Source organism: Homo sapiens, chromosome 1, assembly GCF_000001405.40.
Source record: "Homo sapiens chromosome 1, GRCh38.p14 Primary Assembly".
Lineage (NCBI taxonomy): Eukaryota > Metazoa > Chordata > Mammalia > Primates > Hominidae > Homo > Homo sapiens.
This window is the reverse complement of record NC_000001.11, coordinates 170,617,352-170,635,580: the sequence shown is the minus strand read 5'-3', so window position 1 is coordinate 170,635,580 and position 18,229 is coordinate 170,617,352. Positions and strand designations below refer to the sequence as shown.

Sequence of the window (18,229 nt, the reverse complement as noted above, 5' to 3'; positions counted from 1 at the left end):
AGGTCAGAAAGAAATGTTGCAACCTCCCTGTCAAATCAATTTAATTCCTATTTTAAGACTGCAACACATGAGACAAAAAACATAAACGTTAATATTTCTTGGACTTCTCCATTCTGGGTTATAGTACAGATTTTAGATTTTATACAGGGTGAAGACTAGGGGTGAGGCACCTTGTCTTCAGTCTTTCTGCCACATTGATAGCCATGGAAATGTCTTCTGCCCACATGACCCTTTCAGGACCAACAGATTCCTACTACTTCTGGAATGTTTCCAGCACAGACCCTTTCTTGATGAGATTGCTTGTGTGTTCTTCTGCCTAAGAACTGCTCAGCCAGGTCCTCTTGGAGGTCTCAGAACATTTCCTGTGGTGCCCTGAGAAGCAGGATGTTGATCTCTTCTACTCTAACAGCTCACAAATCTCTTTCTTTTCTTTCAACCCACTAGCTCAAAAGGGGCAGGGTGATTTTCACCCTAATGGAAATAATTTTCCATTTGTTCATGCTATAGAATTTCCTTCTTTTTGCCTCCTCAGCATACTCCACAACCAATCATTTCCTCTGAAGCTTGGGCTTTTAGAAACAATGGACAGAATGACTTTGATCTGTGTTTGCTTCCTTCCTTGCCCTGTATCATCATTCCTGAGTAATGACAGGAGGACTAGCAACCTTCAATGTGGAGAAGGGAAGGTGGAAAATAGAAAAAGGGTATGTTAATATCACAAAATATGTTTCCAGGAGCACAATTAAGGTACAAGTGTTCTCAAACCAGTTACATCTTTACACACAGTCAGTAACAAGCAAGACTAATATCATGGCTAATAGCATAAAGGGAGACCACCAGAGTTAGCCAATGGCTTTTTTATTGTTTTGCTGGGGAAAAGACTCAGTGAAACTTTACCCAATTAAAATTTATCCATAGCTATTTTCATCTTCTGAAAACAATATGACTTAAACCTCTTCAGTTTAGAATATAATGCCTCTGGAATTTCCCAATGCTTCATTGAGAGTCTGCTTTCTAGAGTCCATATGCTGCTTGTACATCACTGACATCTCATTAATAGCATTAGTAAAGGATGACTCAATGAAAGACTCTCCATTCTATCAAAGCAGTAGATTTTGTGGTAAAAAGAGAAAAAGTAAATTGGAAGTTGCAGTTGCCTTCCCAGGGCCTGCATGCCTTAGTCTACATTGTAGTCACGCATGTAAGATGTGCCAAATCAAAAATAATTGTTTTTAGAAACAAATGCCAGCTTTCTAAGGACCACTCAATTTATTTCATACTTTTTTTCCACAAAAAGTAGACATTTCAGAGTGGCATTATCATCTACCAGAAAAAGTTATCTGATGGCATTTGGCTTACCAGAATGAGAATTCTTTTTAGATTGTTAAGCAGCTACTGACTACTTAACAGTTCTCACATTACACTGAATATAAGCAGTATTGCTAAAAGCCAATACTCATCTGACATAGTGAAATTGAAATTAAGCACAAAATTATAGAAAACATCAGAATATTATTATTCACTTCTCAGAAACAGTGTCATCTAGGCAGATGGCATGGCTAATTCCTGTAATCCCCACACTTTGGGAGGCTGAAATAGGAGGATCTCTTAAGGCCAGGAGTTTGAGACCAGCCTGGGCAACACAGCAAAACCCCATCTCTACAATCAAAATAAAAACAAATTAGCTGAGCATGGTGGCACATGCATGTAGTTCCAATTACTCAAGAGGCTGAGGCAAGAGGATTACTTGAGCCCAGAAGTTTGAGGTTGCAGTGAGCCATGAGAATACTACTGTACTCCAGCCTGGGTGAAAGAGCCATACCACGTCTCAAAAAATAAAAAAGAAAGAAAGAAAGAAAAAAATAAAGAAACTAAAATCAATGTCATCTAAGCACAGATAGACAAATGAATGCTCACTCTTTTCTTAGGGGATGAGCAATTAGCCAAATGCAATAGCATGTATTTATAAATTTTTATATCACAAACTAGACTTCTAGTCTCTGTTCCAGTATGTAAGCTACTTGGAAATTGTCATTCTCATCCTCAAAACAAAGCAACAACAAAAAAAGCTGAACAAACTGAAAATAAACACTCTTCTTATATCCTTCAGAAAACTGAGGTCACAGGGCAAACTCAAAATAGAGAAATAGGTTAATACAGAAAATCACAATTACCAGACCAGAAGCAAAAATCTTCTGCAAGAACCAGTATCAAGATATGAAGATTTCAACTGTAATTGACAAGTTGTTGGCAGCTCAGTGTGGACAAATTTGAGAGTTAAAAACTCTAGGGGGCCTAATCTTAGGGGAGCCCCTATTCTTTTGTGAGTTTTACATCTAGAAGCCCTACCAGGTTTTCACAGTGAATATCTGGTAACAAAAAAAAAAAAAAAAAAGAAAACAAACAAAAAAAAAAACCCTTCTGTTTCCTGAAGGGTATGGGGAAAGTTTCCATTTAAAATTTGCCCAGATTATTTTGTTCTTCTCAAACAGGCCTACTCTCATGAAAAACTATTTTACCAGAGTTTAATCAATTGGAGGTCTTATCAGAACCTAACTGACCTGAGAGAAATACTCTACTTCAGCTACCTCTAGCCAGTCTTACTCACCAAAGAGGAGGAAAAATTGAGAAGCACTCATGAAGCTCACAGCTCAGGAGCACAGGCTAACTAAAAGCCTAAGACTGCATCAAAGGACTGTGGAACACTTACTCTTGCCACACACCTTACCATCACACCAATAGGGCTCTTGTATAATAATTGGGGAATACAACTAAAAGAACTGGATGTGTCAGACTTTATTTAAGAAGAAATCTCTAAGGAAACTCAGAGACAACCAGAAACACAAATAGAAAAACACAAGAGGAAATGTTAACCTCTGACACCTACAGCTACAGCCTAACTCCTAGTCAGATAAACGTAAAGCCTCACAAAAAAGACCCTATCTACCTCTGTTCCACTTACCCAGTATTTCATGTCTAGCTTCCAATATAAAATTGTAAGGCACAATGAAAGACAAAAAAAAATTTTTTTGAAGAGATAGAGCAAGCATCAGATCCAGAGTCAGACATGGCAAGGATGTTGGAATTATTAGATTGGGAATTTAAAACAACTATGATTAATATGCTGAGAGCTCTAGTGGAGAAAATGGACAACGTGAGAACAGATGAGTGATGTAGGCAGAAAGGAGAAAATTTTTTAAAAGAATCAAGAGGAAATATTAGAAATCAAAAACACTGTAGCAAGAATGAAGAATACCTTTAAGGGGCACTTCAATGAACTGAACACAACTGAAGAAAGAATCAGTGAGCTTAAAGAAATGTCAATAGAAACTTCTAAAACTGAAATACAAAGAGAAGAAAAGACAACAGAATATCCAAGAATTGTGGAACAATTACAAAATGTATAACATACACATAATAGGAATACCAGAAGGACAATAAGGAGAAAACAGAACAGAAGAAATATTTGAAGCAATGCTAACTGAGAATTTCCTAAAGTTAATGATAGACACCAAACCACAGATACAGAAAGCTCAGAGAACAAGTAGGATAAAAAACCAAAATTTACATCTAGGCATATAATTTTCAAACTGCAGAAAGTTAAAAACAAAGGGAACATCTTGAAAGAAATCAGAGGAAAAAACACCTTACCTATAAAGAAGTAAGAATAAGAATTACACTGGTGGTGTGGGGGTGGTACATTGGTGGGGGGGGACGGGGGTGGGGGTCCGGGGTACGGGGGTGGGGACTGGGGACGACGGGGATGGGGGACGGGGACGGGGGCTGGGGGAAGGGCCAAGATGGCTGACAAGAAGCAACAGCATTAGGAGGCTCTCATTGAAAAATAAAACATAATAGGCTTGTGAATCCTTTACCGGCAACCAAAGTATCCAGGTTCTGTCATCAAAATGGACTCGAGGGCTGGCATGACCCATGGAGACAAGGAAGAACAGTGTGGTGCTGCGGCCCACCTGAGAGCCATATGGGGAAGGGGAATCGCCGCCCCCCAGCCAAGGGAGGCAGTGAGTGAGCACGCTACTCAGCCGGGGAAACTGCTTTTTCCACGGAACTGTGCAACCCACGGATCGGAAGATCCCACTTGCGAACCCAGTCCACCAGGGCCTAGCACCCCCACCCCAGAATGCACAGATTCTTACAGCTTCTCAGCTAGAATCTGATCAAGCCTATCGAACTCCCAGCAGGAGGGGCGACCAGCACCGGCTGTGGCTGCCTGCTGTCTAAGTTGTTTGAGCTCCTTTAGGGAGGGGCAGCAACCAGCACTGGGACTCACAGCTGCCTAACACACTAAGCTCTTTGGGTGGCGGAAGGGCAGCAACCATTTCTATAGCTCCAGGCTGCGCTTTTCCCCTGCTGGAGCCAGGGAGGCTGGACGGCTCAGTCCCAACACTTGTCCCCACAGCCCAACACACCAGCTGGCCTGCGGTCAGAGTGCATCTTCAGGCCTAATTCTGACCCATCCTTCCTCAGTGGGCGGGGCTTTCCTGCAGGATCTCCAATAACTCCAGCCAGAGCCTCAGGGACAGAATTTGGATCTCCCTGGGCCTGAGCCCCTAGAAGGAGGGGTGGCTTCAGTCTCTACAGACCAGCCGACTTAGCCTCTCCTCCTGGTAGTTCTGAGGAATTCGGGCAGCCCAGATGAGTCAGTTCCCCCCACCAGTGAAACACACCCTCTCCGCCAAGGGACAAAGTGCTCTGTTAAATAGGTCCTGCTCCCTGTTAACCCAACTGGGTGAGACCCTCCAACAGGGGTTGTCAGACACCCTATACAAGAGCAATTCTACTGACAACAGGTTGGTGCCCCTTGAGATCAGAGGTTCCAGAGGAAGGAGCAGGCACCCATCTTTGCTGTTCTCCAGGCTCCTTGAGTGACATCTCTAGACATGGGAGTGAATCAGATAAATAAGGCCTGAAGTGAACCCCCAGAAACTTCAGCAGCCCTATAGAAGAGGGACTTCACCATTGAAAGGAAAACAAGCAGAAAGCAACAACAACAGCATCATCAACAACAACAAAAAGCCCCCACAAAAACCCCATCCAAGGATCAGCAGCCTCAAAGACCGAAACTAGACAAACTCACGAAGATGAGAAAGAATCAACAATACAATGTTGAAAACCCAAAAGAGAGAAATTTATAGTACTAAATGCCCACATCAGAAAGCTAGAAAGATCTCAAATTGACACCCTAACATCACAATTAAAAGAGCTAGAGAGTCAAGAGCACACTAACACAAAAGCTAGCAGAAGATAAGAAATAACTAAGATCAGAGACGAATTGAAGGAGATAGAGAAACGAAAAACCCTCCAAATAATCAACTAATCCAGGAGGTGGTTTCCTGAAAAAATTAACAAATAGATTGACCGCTAGCTAGACTAATAAAGAAGAAGAGAGAGAAGAATCAAATAGACACAATAAAAAATAATAAAGGGGATATCGCTACTGACCCCACAGAAACACAAACTAGCATCAGAGAATACTATAAACACCTCTGCACAAATAAACTAGAAAATCTAGAAGAAATGGATAAATTCCTGGATGCATACATTCTACCAAGACTAAACCAGGAAGAAATTGAATCCCTGAATAGAACAATAATAAGCTCTGAAATTGAGGGAGTAATTAATAGCCTCCCAAACAAACAAACAAACAAACAAACAGGACCAGACAGATTCACAGGTGAATACTACCAAAAATACAAAGATGAGCTGGTACCATTCCTTCTGAAACTATTCCAAACAATTGAAAAGGAGGGACTACTCTCTAACTCATTTTATGAAGCCAGCATCATCCTGATACAAAACTGGGAAGAGACACAACGACAACAACAACAAACTTCAGGCCAATATCCCTGATGAACATTGATGCGAAAATCCTCAATAAAATACTGGCAAACTAAATCCAGCAGCACATTAAAAAACTTATGCACCACAATCAACTCAGCTGCATCCCTGGAATGCAAGATTGGTTCAACGTATGCAAATCAATAAATGTAATCCATCACATAAACAGAACCAAAGACCACATGATTATCTCAATAAATGCAGAAAAGGCCTTTGATAAAATTCAACATCCCTTCATGCTAAAAACTCTCAATAAACCATATAAATAAACTAAATAAACATATATTGATGGAACATACATGTAAACAATAAGAGCTATTTACGACAAACCCACAGCCAATATCATAATGAATGGGCAAAAGTGGTAAGCATTCCCTTTGAAAACCAGCACAAGACAAGGATGCCCTCTCTCACCACTCCTATTCAACATAGTATTAGAAGTTCTGGCCAGGGCAATCAGGCAAGAGAAATAAATAAAGCGTATTCGAATAAGAAGAGAGGAAGTCAAATTGTCTCTGCTTGCAGATAACATGATTGTATATTTAGAAAACCCCATCATCTCAGCCCAGAAACTTCTTGAACTGATAAGCAACTTCAGCAAAGAATCAGGATACAAAATCAATGTGCAGAAATAACAAACATTCCTTTACACCAACAATAGGCAAGCAGAGAGCCGAATCATGAATGAACTCCCCTTCACAATCGCCACAAAGAGAATAAAATACCTAAGAATACAGCTAACAGGGGATGTGAATACAGATAACAAGGGATGTGAAGGACTTCTTCACTGCTCAAGAAAATAAGAGAGGACACAAACAAATGGAAAAACATTCCATGCTCATGGATAGGAAGAATCAATATCGTGAAAATGGCCATACCACCCAAAGTAATTTATAGAGTCAATGTTATTCCCATCAAACTACCATTGACATTCTTCACAGAATTAGAAAAAACAATTTTAAATTTCATATGGAATCAAAGAAGACCCACCCCCCGATATAGCCAAGACAATCCTAAGCAAAAAGAACAAAGCTGGAGGCATCACGCTACCTGACTTCAAACTATACTACAAGGCTACAGTCACCAAAGCAGCATGGTACTGGTACCAAAACAGACATGTAGACCAATGAAGCAGAACAGAGACCTCAGAAATAACACCACAGATCTATAACCATCTGATCTTCAACAAACTTGCCAAAAACAAGCAATGGGGAAAGGATCTCCTATTCAGAAAATGGTACTGGGAAAACTGGCTAGCCATATGCAGAAAACTGAAACTGGACGCTGTCTTTACACCTTATACAAAAATTAACTCAAGATGGACTAAAGACTTAAATGTAAAGCCCCAAACCATAAAAACCCTAGAAGAAAATCTAGGCAATACCATTCAGGACATAGGCATGGGCAAAGACTCCATGAAAAAAGTGCCAAAAGCAATGGCAACAAAAGCCAAAATTGACAAATGGGATCTAATTAAACTAAAGAGCTTCTGCAAGTGAAAGAAACTATCATCAGAGTGAACAGAAAATCTACAGAATGGGAGAAGTTTTTGCAATCTCCCCATCTGACAAAGTTCTAATATCTAGAATCTACAAGGAGCTTACAGTTACAAGAAAAAAAAAATCAAAAATTGGGCAAAGGATATGAGCAGAGACTTCTCAAAAGAAGGCATTTATGCAGCCTACAAACATATGAAGAAAAGCTCAACATCACTAATCATCAGAGAAATGCAAATCAAAACCACAATGAGATACCATCTCACGCCAGTCAGAATGGCAATTATTTAAAAGTCAGAAAACAATAGAATAGACACCGGCAAGGCTGTAGAGAAATAGGAACGCTTTTACACTGTTGGTGGGAGTGTAAATTAGTTCAACCATTGTGGAAGACAGTATGGTGACTCCTCAAGGATCTAGGACCAGAAATACCATTTGACCCAGCAATCCCATTACTGGGTATATACCCAAAGGAATATAAATCATTCTACTATAAAGACACATGCACACATATGTTTATTGCAGCACTATTTACAATAGTAAAGACATGGAACCAACCCAAACCCCCATCAATGATAGACTGGATAAAGAAAATGTGGCACATATACACCATGGAATACCATGCAGCCATAAAAAGGAATGAGGTCATGTCCTTTGCAGGGACATGGATGAAGCTGGAAGCCATTATCCTCAGCAACTTAACACAGGAACAGAAAACCAAACACCACATGTTCTCACTCATAAGTGGGAGTTGAACACTGAGAACACGTGGACATGGGGAGGGGAACAACACACACCAGGGCCCTTTTGGTGGTGGGGGATGAGGGGAGGGAACTTAGAGGATGGGTCAATAGGTGCAGCAAACCACCATGGCACACATATACCTATGTAACAAACCTCCACATTCTGCACATGTATCCCATTTTGTTTTTTTTTTAGAAGAAATAAAGAAAAACAAACAAAAAAAGAACTACATTGGGCTTATTTTCAGAATGCATGCAAACAAGAAGAGAGTAAGGTGAAATATTTAATGTATTAAAAGAAAAAAACCACCAGTCTAGAATTCTTCATTCTTCTAAACTAAAAGAGAAAGATTTTCTCCAACAAGTAAAAACTGAGGAATTTGTCACTAGCAGATCTGCCTTGCAGGAAATGTTAAAAGAATTTTTTCAGAAGGAAGAAACATGACATGATAGATACTTGGATCTACATAAAGAAAGGCAGGGCCGGGTGCAATGGCTCACGCCTGTAATACCAGCACTTTGGGAGGCCAAGGTGGGTGGATCACGAGGTCGGGAGTTCGAGACCAGCCTGGCCAATATAGTGAAACCCCGTTTCTACTAAAGATACAAAAAAATTAGCCGAGCATGGTGGCGGGCACCTGTAATCCTAGCTACTCAGGAGGCTAAGGCAGGAGAATCGCTTGAACCCGGGAGGCAGAGGTTGCAGTGAGCCAAGATCACGCCATTGCACACTCCAACCTGGGCAACAAGAGTGAAACTCCATCAAAAAAAAAAGAAAAAGAAAGGCAGAGTGTTAGAGAAGAAACATATGACAGTAAAATACCATTAACTATGGATCGTCTTCAAAAGATGAGCTTACCTACTTAAATCATTAAATATACAGAACTAAAGTTTTTCTCAGAAGAGAATCATAAATTCTAAAGGATTTTTTTATTTACTCAATACATTATTTTCCTATCAATAATATGTCATTTCTAATGGTTTAATAATAGGGTGCTTTATTTGTTCAACAAACAATTATTGAATGTATGCTAAATGTTAGACTCTATTACTATTAATAGAAAAAAGGAACAAAGTTAAAAAGAATTATTTCTCCCCAAAAGAAGTATACAATTTAATAAAGCTAGAGAAATGCTGCTTGAAAATTTACTAATACAGTGAGCTGAAATACATGAGTGTCATATACACAAGTTAAGTGTCACTTTCAGGGAAGCATCTGACTTTAAAGATGTCAGGCAAAGTTCATTAGAGGACACAGCATTAAAACTGAAATTTAAATGTGAGAGGAGTTTACAAAGGGATGATAACTGTGTATGCAAAGGTATAAAGAAGCATGACATGTATCAAAAATGCAAAGTGGCCAGGGGTGGTGTCATACCTGTAATCCCAGTAATTTGGGAGACCGAGGCAGATAGATCACTTACAGACCAGCCTGAGCAACATGGTGCAACCCTGTCTCTACCCAAAAAAAAAGCCAGGTGTGGTGGCACAGGCCTGTAGTCCCAGCTATTCAGGAGGCTGAGGTGGGAGGGTCTCCTGAACTTGTGAGTCCGAGGCTACAGTGACCCAAGATCATGCCACTGCACTCCAGCCTGGCGGACAGAGTCAAAAAAAAAAAAAAGAAAAGAAAATGCAAAGTGATTCGGTATCACCCACATTTAGAGAAAAAGAGTGGGGAATGAGGCTGGACCAGTGGAAGTCAGGTAAGAAAAGTCTTACATGCTTGGCAAAGGGATTGACTTTTGTTTATTTGTTTTTGTTTTTGTTTTTTTGAGACAGAGTCTCACTCTGAAGCCCAGGCTGGAGTGCAGTGGCGTGATCTCAGCTCACTGCAACCTCTGCCTCACAGGTTCAAGTGATTCTCCCATCTCAGCTTCCTGAGTAGTTGGGATTACAGGCATGCGCCAACATGCCTAGCTAATTTTTGTATTTTTAGTAATGATGGAGTTTCACCATGTGGGCCAGGCTGCTCTTGAACTCCCGACCTCAGGGGATCCGCCTGTCTTGGCCTCCCAAAGTGCTGGGATTACAGGCGTGAGCCACCGTGCCTGGCCTTTGTTTTTGTTTTTCTGTAGACAAATCAGGTTTATTGAAGAATAGTGGATTATAATAACAAAAGCACTAGGTAACATTTATTGACTGTTACCTTATTCCAGGCTCTGTTCTAAATAGCTTACCTTTATTAATTTGTTTAAGCCTCACAATCTGCTGCAAGACTCAGCATGGTTAAGTAACTTGTCCAAAGTCATTCAGCTCAGTGGCAGAGCTGGGTAGGATGTGACGTAGTGGCACTTGTGTTTAGAATTACCTTTCTGATAGCCATGTAAAAGATGAAGAGGTTGGTGATAAACTCAGGCAATGGTCATGGGGATGGGGAGGAGGGGCAGATAGTCAGAAAGTAGAATTGACAGAATTGATGATCAAACAGTCGTGTGAGGGCTAGGAGAGGAAGATCTAGGATGACTTTGAGGTTCTTGGCTTGGGAAAATGGAAAGAGATGATGTCACCGTTCCAAAAACAGGGAATATTGGGAGGAAAACAGTTCTGAGAATATTTCATTCACTCATTGATTCATACATTCATCTCTTCAGTCAATATTGTCTGCCTATCCTAGATTAGGCAATCTGTTAAGTGTTGGATATACAATGTTAAGCAAAATAGACAAAATTGTCATATAGCCTGCAGTCTAAGAACAAAGTCAATTTCTGAAAACATTAAAGCTTCCATAGGCCATCAAGCTAGGCATTTCTACAAGAAGCCTTGTAGATAGCTTTCAAAATTCCTGTTGATCCTCTAAAATTTACTGGAGACCCAGCCTTTTCCTGGACCCACAGCCATGTCCAGTCCAGGATCAGGCCCTGAAATGTGTCTTAGATTCCATGCACATTCACTCTGGTCTGAAGTCAACACACATAGCCAGAGGTAGGGTGGCTCCTAGGCTTTGACCAGTACACCTGCAGCAAGCCAGCCTTGGGAGAAAGAAGATTCTATCTTTAAGGGAATATGTCCAAGGGGGCAGATTATGTGTTTAGCTTCAAGAGAAATCTGAATTGGAGGTAGACATGTGAAGGTCGTCAGCATGTATATGGTAGATTAGGCCACTCATGTGAATGACTTTGATAAGAACCGACAGCTGAAGACAGTGCTTGCAGTAGCATTAGGAACAGGTGTCCACAGAAGACTTAGAAGAAAAACCTGGATAGGGAGCAGGAAAACCACTAGAATAGTGTCACAGATTCCCAAGGAGAGGAGAGCTTTAAGAAGACAGTAATGAGTAGAATAAAATGCCCCTGAGTGATATGTAAAGCATGAGCTGACAGTGTCCTGAATATGGGTTCATTTGTACTGACCTTCATCCATTTATATATTAAGAGTCTTTGCTGGGGATTTTGGTATTGACGCAATAGATTCCATCATTATAATGAACTCTTGGGCCAACATTACCCAAGCTCTAGACTGCTTTTGGGCTTGAGGGTATTGTAATGATGGTTAAATTTATAAAGTATTCTTCCAGGATGATTTGTTCAAATCAGATATCTTAGAAACATATTTGCTGGAGTCTTCAATTTTTTATTTTTCTTCTATCACTTTGAGTTGTGATAATAGCCAAAAAGTATAGAAAACAAGATTTTTTTCTTTGGATAGTTGATCTATTAAGGTGGAGTTTTAGTTTGCAACAAATCCAAATTATTGTCAGCTTGGTTATACATTTTAATTTAAAACGTGGTTTATCTGGTCTTTTCACTCTACCATAATAGAATTTTGGCCTCAAAATTAATTTGGCATCCTTTTTGTATAGGGTAGCATTTAGCATTCAGGCAGAGCACAGTGGACATGTTCTGTCTTTGCTTCATAGTATATGTGGACTCAGCTAAAGAGACTTAAATGACTGGGAGTGACTTGAACAATTGAGAGACAGAATCATTTAGAGGCTTCTTCCATGTCTGGGAACTGGTCAGGAATAAATCAGAGCCTGGGCTAAGCAGGGACTGTCACCTAGAACTCCTACATGTGACTATGTGATCTGCATGTTGCCATGTGACCTCTCCATATGGCTTGGGTTTCCTCACAGTATGGTGGCCTCAGGATATGCTGTTGGACTTATCACATCATGACTCAGGATTCCATGAGCAAGTGTTCCAGCAAACACGGTGCAAATTGCATGACTTTTTATGACTCAGTCTCAAAAATCCTGTGGCACCACAAACTCACCCAAATCAAGAATGAGTACACAAATCGGACCTCTTTATGGGAGAAATGACAAATAATTTACAGTCATGTTTTAAAACTGCCATACTTATCAAAGGTGCTCTGATAACGAAATTACAACAAAAATAATTAATGAAGATTGACTAGCTACATATTATGATGTGAGAACGGTATAGAACCTTAGTTAGAAAGACTTGTGCTGGGTTTCCAAAAATAAGAAATCATGCAAAGAACATTATCTGGATTCATTTTTGCATTCAAAAATTATTGAAAATACTGTGGTGAAAAGACAAAGTTCTTGCTCTCATAAAGTTTACATTCTTGTAGGAGGATGGAATGGAGGGAAACAGATAATAAAGAAGTCATAAAATACATTAATAAGATGATCTATGATAGAAATATATGTCTGAAGAAAACAAATTCATTTATTAAAGATTTAGCATTTAAGAGAAATTTCAATGCTAGACCAAAGGATCTAGCTTATCACAATCATGAAAGCATGGGATATAAATTATATAAGATCCAGAGAATCTACACAAGAAGGAAAAAGATGAGATGACAAAGGTTGAGTGCTGAACAACATTTTCAGGAAGCACAGAATATAAAAACTTGGATATGCAAGTTCAAATGTCATACAAAAGATTGGATTTGAGGCCAAAGAAAAACAGAGCCAAGGGCTAGAAGCAAGGTATAACTGAAGTTGAACAAGAATGAGGTTGATAGAAAAGCACAGTGAAGTTGCTGTAATATTTCCTTTTTGGCATCAACTATGTATAGTGGATGAGGCTGATTTAAGGAATTGAGGTGAGATGTGCCATTATATACAGCAGTCTATAAATCATTAAAGAGACATAGTAGAGAGAAGTTATTTGCAAGGCATATAATTGTCAAAGAAATGACATTTAGAATATATTATAAACTGCTAGAAATTAATTTCACAAAGTCAAACAATCCAGTGGGAAAAATGGGCAAAAGATATGAAAAGAGAAATCACAGTAAAGGAAATCAATCTCCCTATAATCAAGGAAATGCAAAATAAAAAGTACAACAATGAAAAGTAATAATAGTGAACTATCATTAAATGGCATCCCACACATATACATATGTAGACTAGTTTTAGTGGTTACAATAATTAGAAGATATATATATATGTATATACTATCTTGGATAAATGTTAATAACTATGGTAGGGTAAAATCATACAAAAATGTAAAACAACATAATATTATCTAAGTAAAATTTTAAAATGTGCAAACGATACTACATAATGATTGCTGATACATCTACAGGTAGTAAGGTATAAAAACAACAACAAAATACACACCAATTTCAGGTACTAACATGGAGAGAAAAAAGGAAATGGAATTGCAGGAGAGGATTGTCTTCTATTGTACCCTTCAAATATTAATATATCTGCTATGTCTTCTTTCTTACAAAGAAGGTCTTTTTTTGTGTGTGTGTCAGATGGAGTTTCACTCTGCCACCTAGGCTGAAGGGCAGTGGTGTGATCTTGGCTCACTGCAACCTCCACACTCCAGGTTCAAGCGATTCTCCTGCTTCAGCCTCCCAAGTAGCTGGGATTACAGGCGCCTGCCACCAGGCCCCGCTAATTTTTGTGTTTTTAGTGGAGATGGGGTTTCACCATGTTGGCCAGGCTGGTCTCAAACTCCTGACATCAAGTGATCCGCCTGCCTTGGCCTCCCAAAGTGCTGGGATTACAGGTGTGAGCCACCGCGCCCAGCAACAAAAAATTAGATCTAAAGCGAATATGATAAGATACTAAACCATGTAAAATATGGCTGGTGATAGTGTACTATTTTCTGTTGTTTGAAATATTTTACAATCACCTCTTTTTTAAATATTAGAAACATAAAGCATATGGGTTATTAATATGTAATTCTTTTTTGTGAGACAACTGGGAAAAGCCACTTGTCAGATCTGGCCAAGGAAGATGTGTCTGTCCTTATCCAGTTTGGGTCATATTCTCCTCCAGTAAGACCTTTCCTGTATCAAATAAAAGTCTTGTCCTATACCTTGTTATTTAAATTTTTACTTCTATATGTCAGAATTTTAATACTGATTACAGAAAATTCTTGGTTTCTCCATTTTAAATATTCCAAAGTTCATACAGTAAATTCAGAGTTTTTTTTTTCATTTTTAATCAATTATATTTATAAGGAGATTTGCTTACTGGGAAACATGTATTTTCTGAAAAAATACTAACTATGAATCTCTTTGTTTCTCTCTTCTGAGTTTTCAATCTTATTCTTGTTGATGTTATGGTGGGAGATAGGGGATTTTTATTCTTGAACTTTTTGGTGGGAAAAGAATAACTATAAGGATCTGCAAATGACTCATTCATTGTGTAGAAATTATAGACTTCATGATATTTCATTTCTAAAATTATTTAAGCATCTAATTCCTACTGCAAAGCAGCATCCTAGGATATGTGTTGGCTGATTATATAGCCACGTGGACCATACAAGAACACAGAGAACCCCTGGAGAGTCTCATGAAGGAGGTACCATCCTTACCTGAATTAATATAACACTTTTGCACAGGGTAAATTGTTGCCAAAGAGTAGATTTTGTAACCATTTAAATGCCAAATCAAATATTCTATTATTAAAGGGCAGTTTATCCTTTCTCTGTCTTACTCCTAATACCCATAATAGTAACAGTAATTTGGAAATTTCTCCAGTGGGATTTTGCTCAAGTTAATACTACTAAAGTTTAATTTCTTTTTCTTTTTGGTGATACCTATACCAAGCACTCATGCTTCAGAAAAAGCTCTAAGCTTTGGCTGCAGCAACTTGAGCCTTGCTTTCTGCCATGCACACTGGAATGCACAACTCACAATAGTTTCCAGATATATCAGTTCCCTTCCTGTCTAGGACATTGTATTGCCACATGACCTTTGCCAAGTCACTTCTTTCTGCTCTGCCATAACATAAGGTTGTAATTATGATGATCTCCCTCTTAGAAATGTGATGAGAAGCTATTCATAACAAAGACTGTAAAAATTGCAAACATGATGAGAGAGGCAGATATTAAATGTAGGAAAATGTTCTAAATTGAATATTTACTTCCTGCCTGACTCCACCTGTCCTTAAAATTTATCCATAAAGACAACAGTAGCAAGAGTGCCTGATTAAGCCCTTCTGTTAATACTATCCACTTAAAATATATTTTTCTGATCCCAAATATGGCCTGGATTTTCAGGCAGATGATATTTATGTGTGTAAGTTATATTTTCATTGTTCTTTCATCAGGCACATGGTCTTTCTTTTTTCTTTCCCAAGAAAACTGAGATCACTTCGATGGTTTTAAATTGGCAATGTGATCTTGTTCAATGCCAGACACATGACATGTTCTAGTAGCCCTCTGGACCTGGGTCTGGGATCATATTCCCCTCTATCCCCAATACATGTTCCAAACACTTGTGAGCATGCTGGAGGCAGAAGGCTTAAAGAGGTGAGATCAGGCCAGGCTGGCATCCACTCTGTAGGATTCAGGGACAGACTCAAACTTCAAAGTGGTGCAGGAGTGACTGGCAAGGCACCAGAGTATTCACGGTAGGTGTAAGGACAACAGGAGAAAAATAAGCCGTCTTAGTACATTTTTTCAAGTTTCTGTTTGTCTTCCATCTGCAGGCTCTTTAAGCTGCCTTCATATTTGGATGTGGAGGTTGAAGTATTGCTGACCAATGCCAGAGTCACAGGAATATCCTGCTGTGCTTTTGATCTTCCCATATGACTGAATTTCCTGAATCATCATGTTACTGTGTGTGCACATATGTGCACATGTGAATCTTCTGGCACATCTCCCAGAAGCGCTAGTTCTGGGACAAAGGATCCATTGGTGCTTTCAGGATGTAATATTGATCACTTTGGCTTTCCTTGGCTCAGAGCCAGACACTTCGTCTCTCACTGCACAAGATGGCTGCCAGCTCCATAAGCTTGTCTCATTGTGACGGCCCTCGGCAGGACTTCCTGAGAGCAGACTAATTTCTGAGAGGCTTTGAAAAATGTTGTTTTAAAGTGGAACTTTGTGTTTTACCAACTATGGACAGTGCTTGGAATCTTGTTATTGACTTTTAAGATCTGTGGTACATCCTATGTTTAATTATGTAATACTCTCCAATACTCAGTTAAGCAGGAACGTCAATGACACAGAAAAACTCACTAGGTTTTTTAATCCCATGGTTTTGCACACTTTTTTATCTAGTATCAGTCTTAGTCAACTCCATAATTTGGACTTCAGACTTAATGATAGTTCAAAAGTCAAATTCGCAAGTATGAAAGGACGAAATCTCCTAAGTTTTCAAAGTGTTTCTTTCATGTATAGTACCACTAAAATTGTAAAAGCAAAGGATTTAGAAAAAACCTTGATGCCAATGCTTTAACATTAAAATAACATTTAAATTAAAACATTTAAAATAAAATGTTTAAAACTACGATTATCTTCAGGTAGATATCTTTCAAATCAAGAACATGACTGCAAATTTGACCCATTGCAAGTTTCCAGACTACTCAAGAAAAAAACAACACCAGAATCTCCTTTTCTCTTCTTTTTCCAAGTACTGTGTCTAGGACTTGACCTAAGCAGAAAGTGAAAAAGACAGAGTGTTCTTTCATTTCCTTTCCAGATTTCCATTCTGCTTTCAGCCACATCATCTTCACACACCAAAAATGTGTTGACTGCCTTTCTTCTTAGAAAGAAAGATTAGTCACTAAGCACTTGAGTGTGAATTTATCTCATATATGATTCTTTCCTGTCTCCCAGAGAAATAATTTTATTTTTAAAAAAAGGACATAGGAAGGAACACTTGCGGTGGACTTTAAGAGATCACTGCATCTATGAGAAGGAATGGCTGAGAACAGAGTATTTGGTCATGTCATAATTTTTATTCCATTAGTGAGACCCTGTCCTTTGCTACTGAGGTGTGTTAGCCTTTGTTAGGAGATGAATTTGCTGTTTTCATTAGCCTCTATTTTATTTGACTCCTGAGAAATGTCCAGAGCAGGTCTCTAACCTAGGCCAAAACGAAATATAATCTGAATTCCCAACATTCCGTGTGTAATGGAAAGAGCACATGCTTTGGAATCAGGAAGACTTGGGTGAGTCTCCTTGTTCAGTCATTTACCATCTGTGTGATCCTGGAGAAGGTATTTAACCTCTTCAAATCTTAAGTTGCTAGTGTACAGAATAAGAATAATGCTACTTAGCTCACGGGGTTGTTGTGAGGCTAAGTGAGATCATAGGTATGAAAGTCTTAACACAGTATGTGACACAGCTGATTTTTAAATAAATTTCCTTCATTGTATGCTCTTAAATGTCAGTAGTCTCTATCAAGCCTGGTGGAGCTCACTTCTTAATGATACTAAGTAATCTAAAAATTCAGCTGTGATATTTTTAAAAAATTATATTCCATGGTTATGATATCACCAGTGTTAAATTTAAACTTGCGATGACAGCACAGCTGTGAACTCTTTGCGTGTCGTATCCTTTGGAAGCAGGGCACTGTGACAGTCCTGAAGAAAATGCTATGTTTGCCATTCTTTGGGTGCACTCGTTAGATTCTTGAATTTCCAGACAGAAAAAGCTGATTGTATTTAGCTCATTTACTCTGAAGAGCCTACTTCAAATCCTTTCTTTGAAAGTAGACAGATTATATATAAATGTGTAGTGTTATTTCTCTATATTCCTATAAGTGAACTCAGTAGTCTGATGTTAATAATAATCTGTTTTAAAACTCATGTTTCAAACTCTCCCAGAGAGAAACTTAATAAAAATTTTGAAATTACAGAGTAAAATAATATGAGTTTGAAGATAAGCTCAAGACAGTCTGTTGACTCAATAGAGTGATATTTTGTTGTTGTTGTTGTTTCCAGAATGACAACAGTATAATGGTAGCAGCCTT

General features: G+C 38.9%; 2 annotated features.

The window, feature by feature from the left end:
* Positions 3,750–4,249: an enhancer, noted in NCBI's record as "H3K4me1 hESC enhancer chr1:170600473-170600972 (GRCh37/hg19 assembly coordinates)". NCBI's record gives its function as "activates a minimal SCP1, AML or CMV promoter by ChIP-STARR-seq in naive H9 embryonic stem cells {active_cell/tissue: H9 hESC(naive)}" and the evidence as "EXISTENCE:reporter gene assay evidence [ECO:0000049][PMID:30033119]".
* Positions 15,481–16,680: an enhancer, noted in NCBI's record as "CDK7 strongly-dependent group 2 enhancer chr1:170588042-170589241 (GRCh37/hg19 assembly coordinates)". NCBI's record gives its function as "activates an origin of replication core promoter dependent on BRD2, BRD4, P300/CBP, MED14 and CDK7 cofactors, with strong dependence on CDK7, by STARR-seq in HCT116 cells {active_cell/tissue: HCT116}" and the evidence as "EXISTENCE:reporter gene assay evidence [ECO:0000049][PMID:35650434]".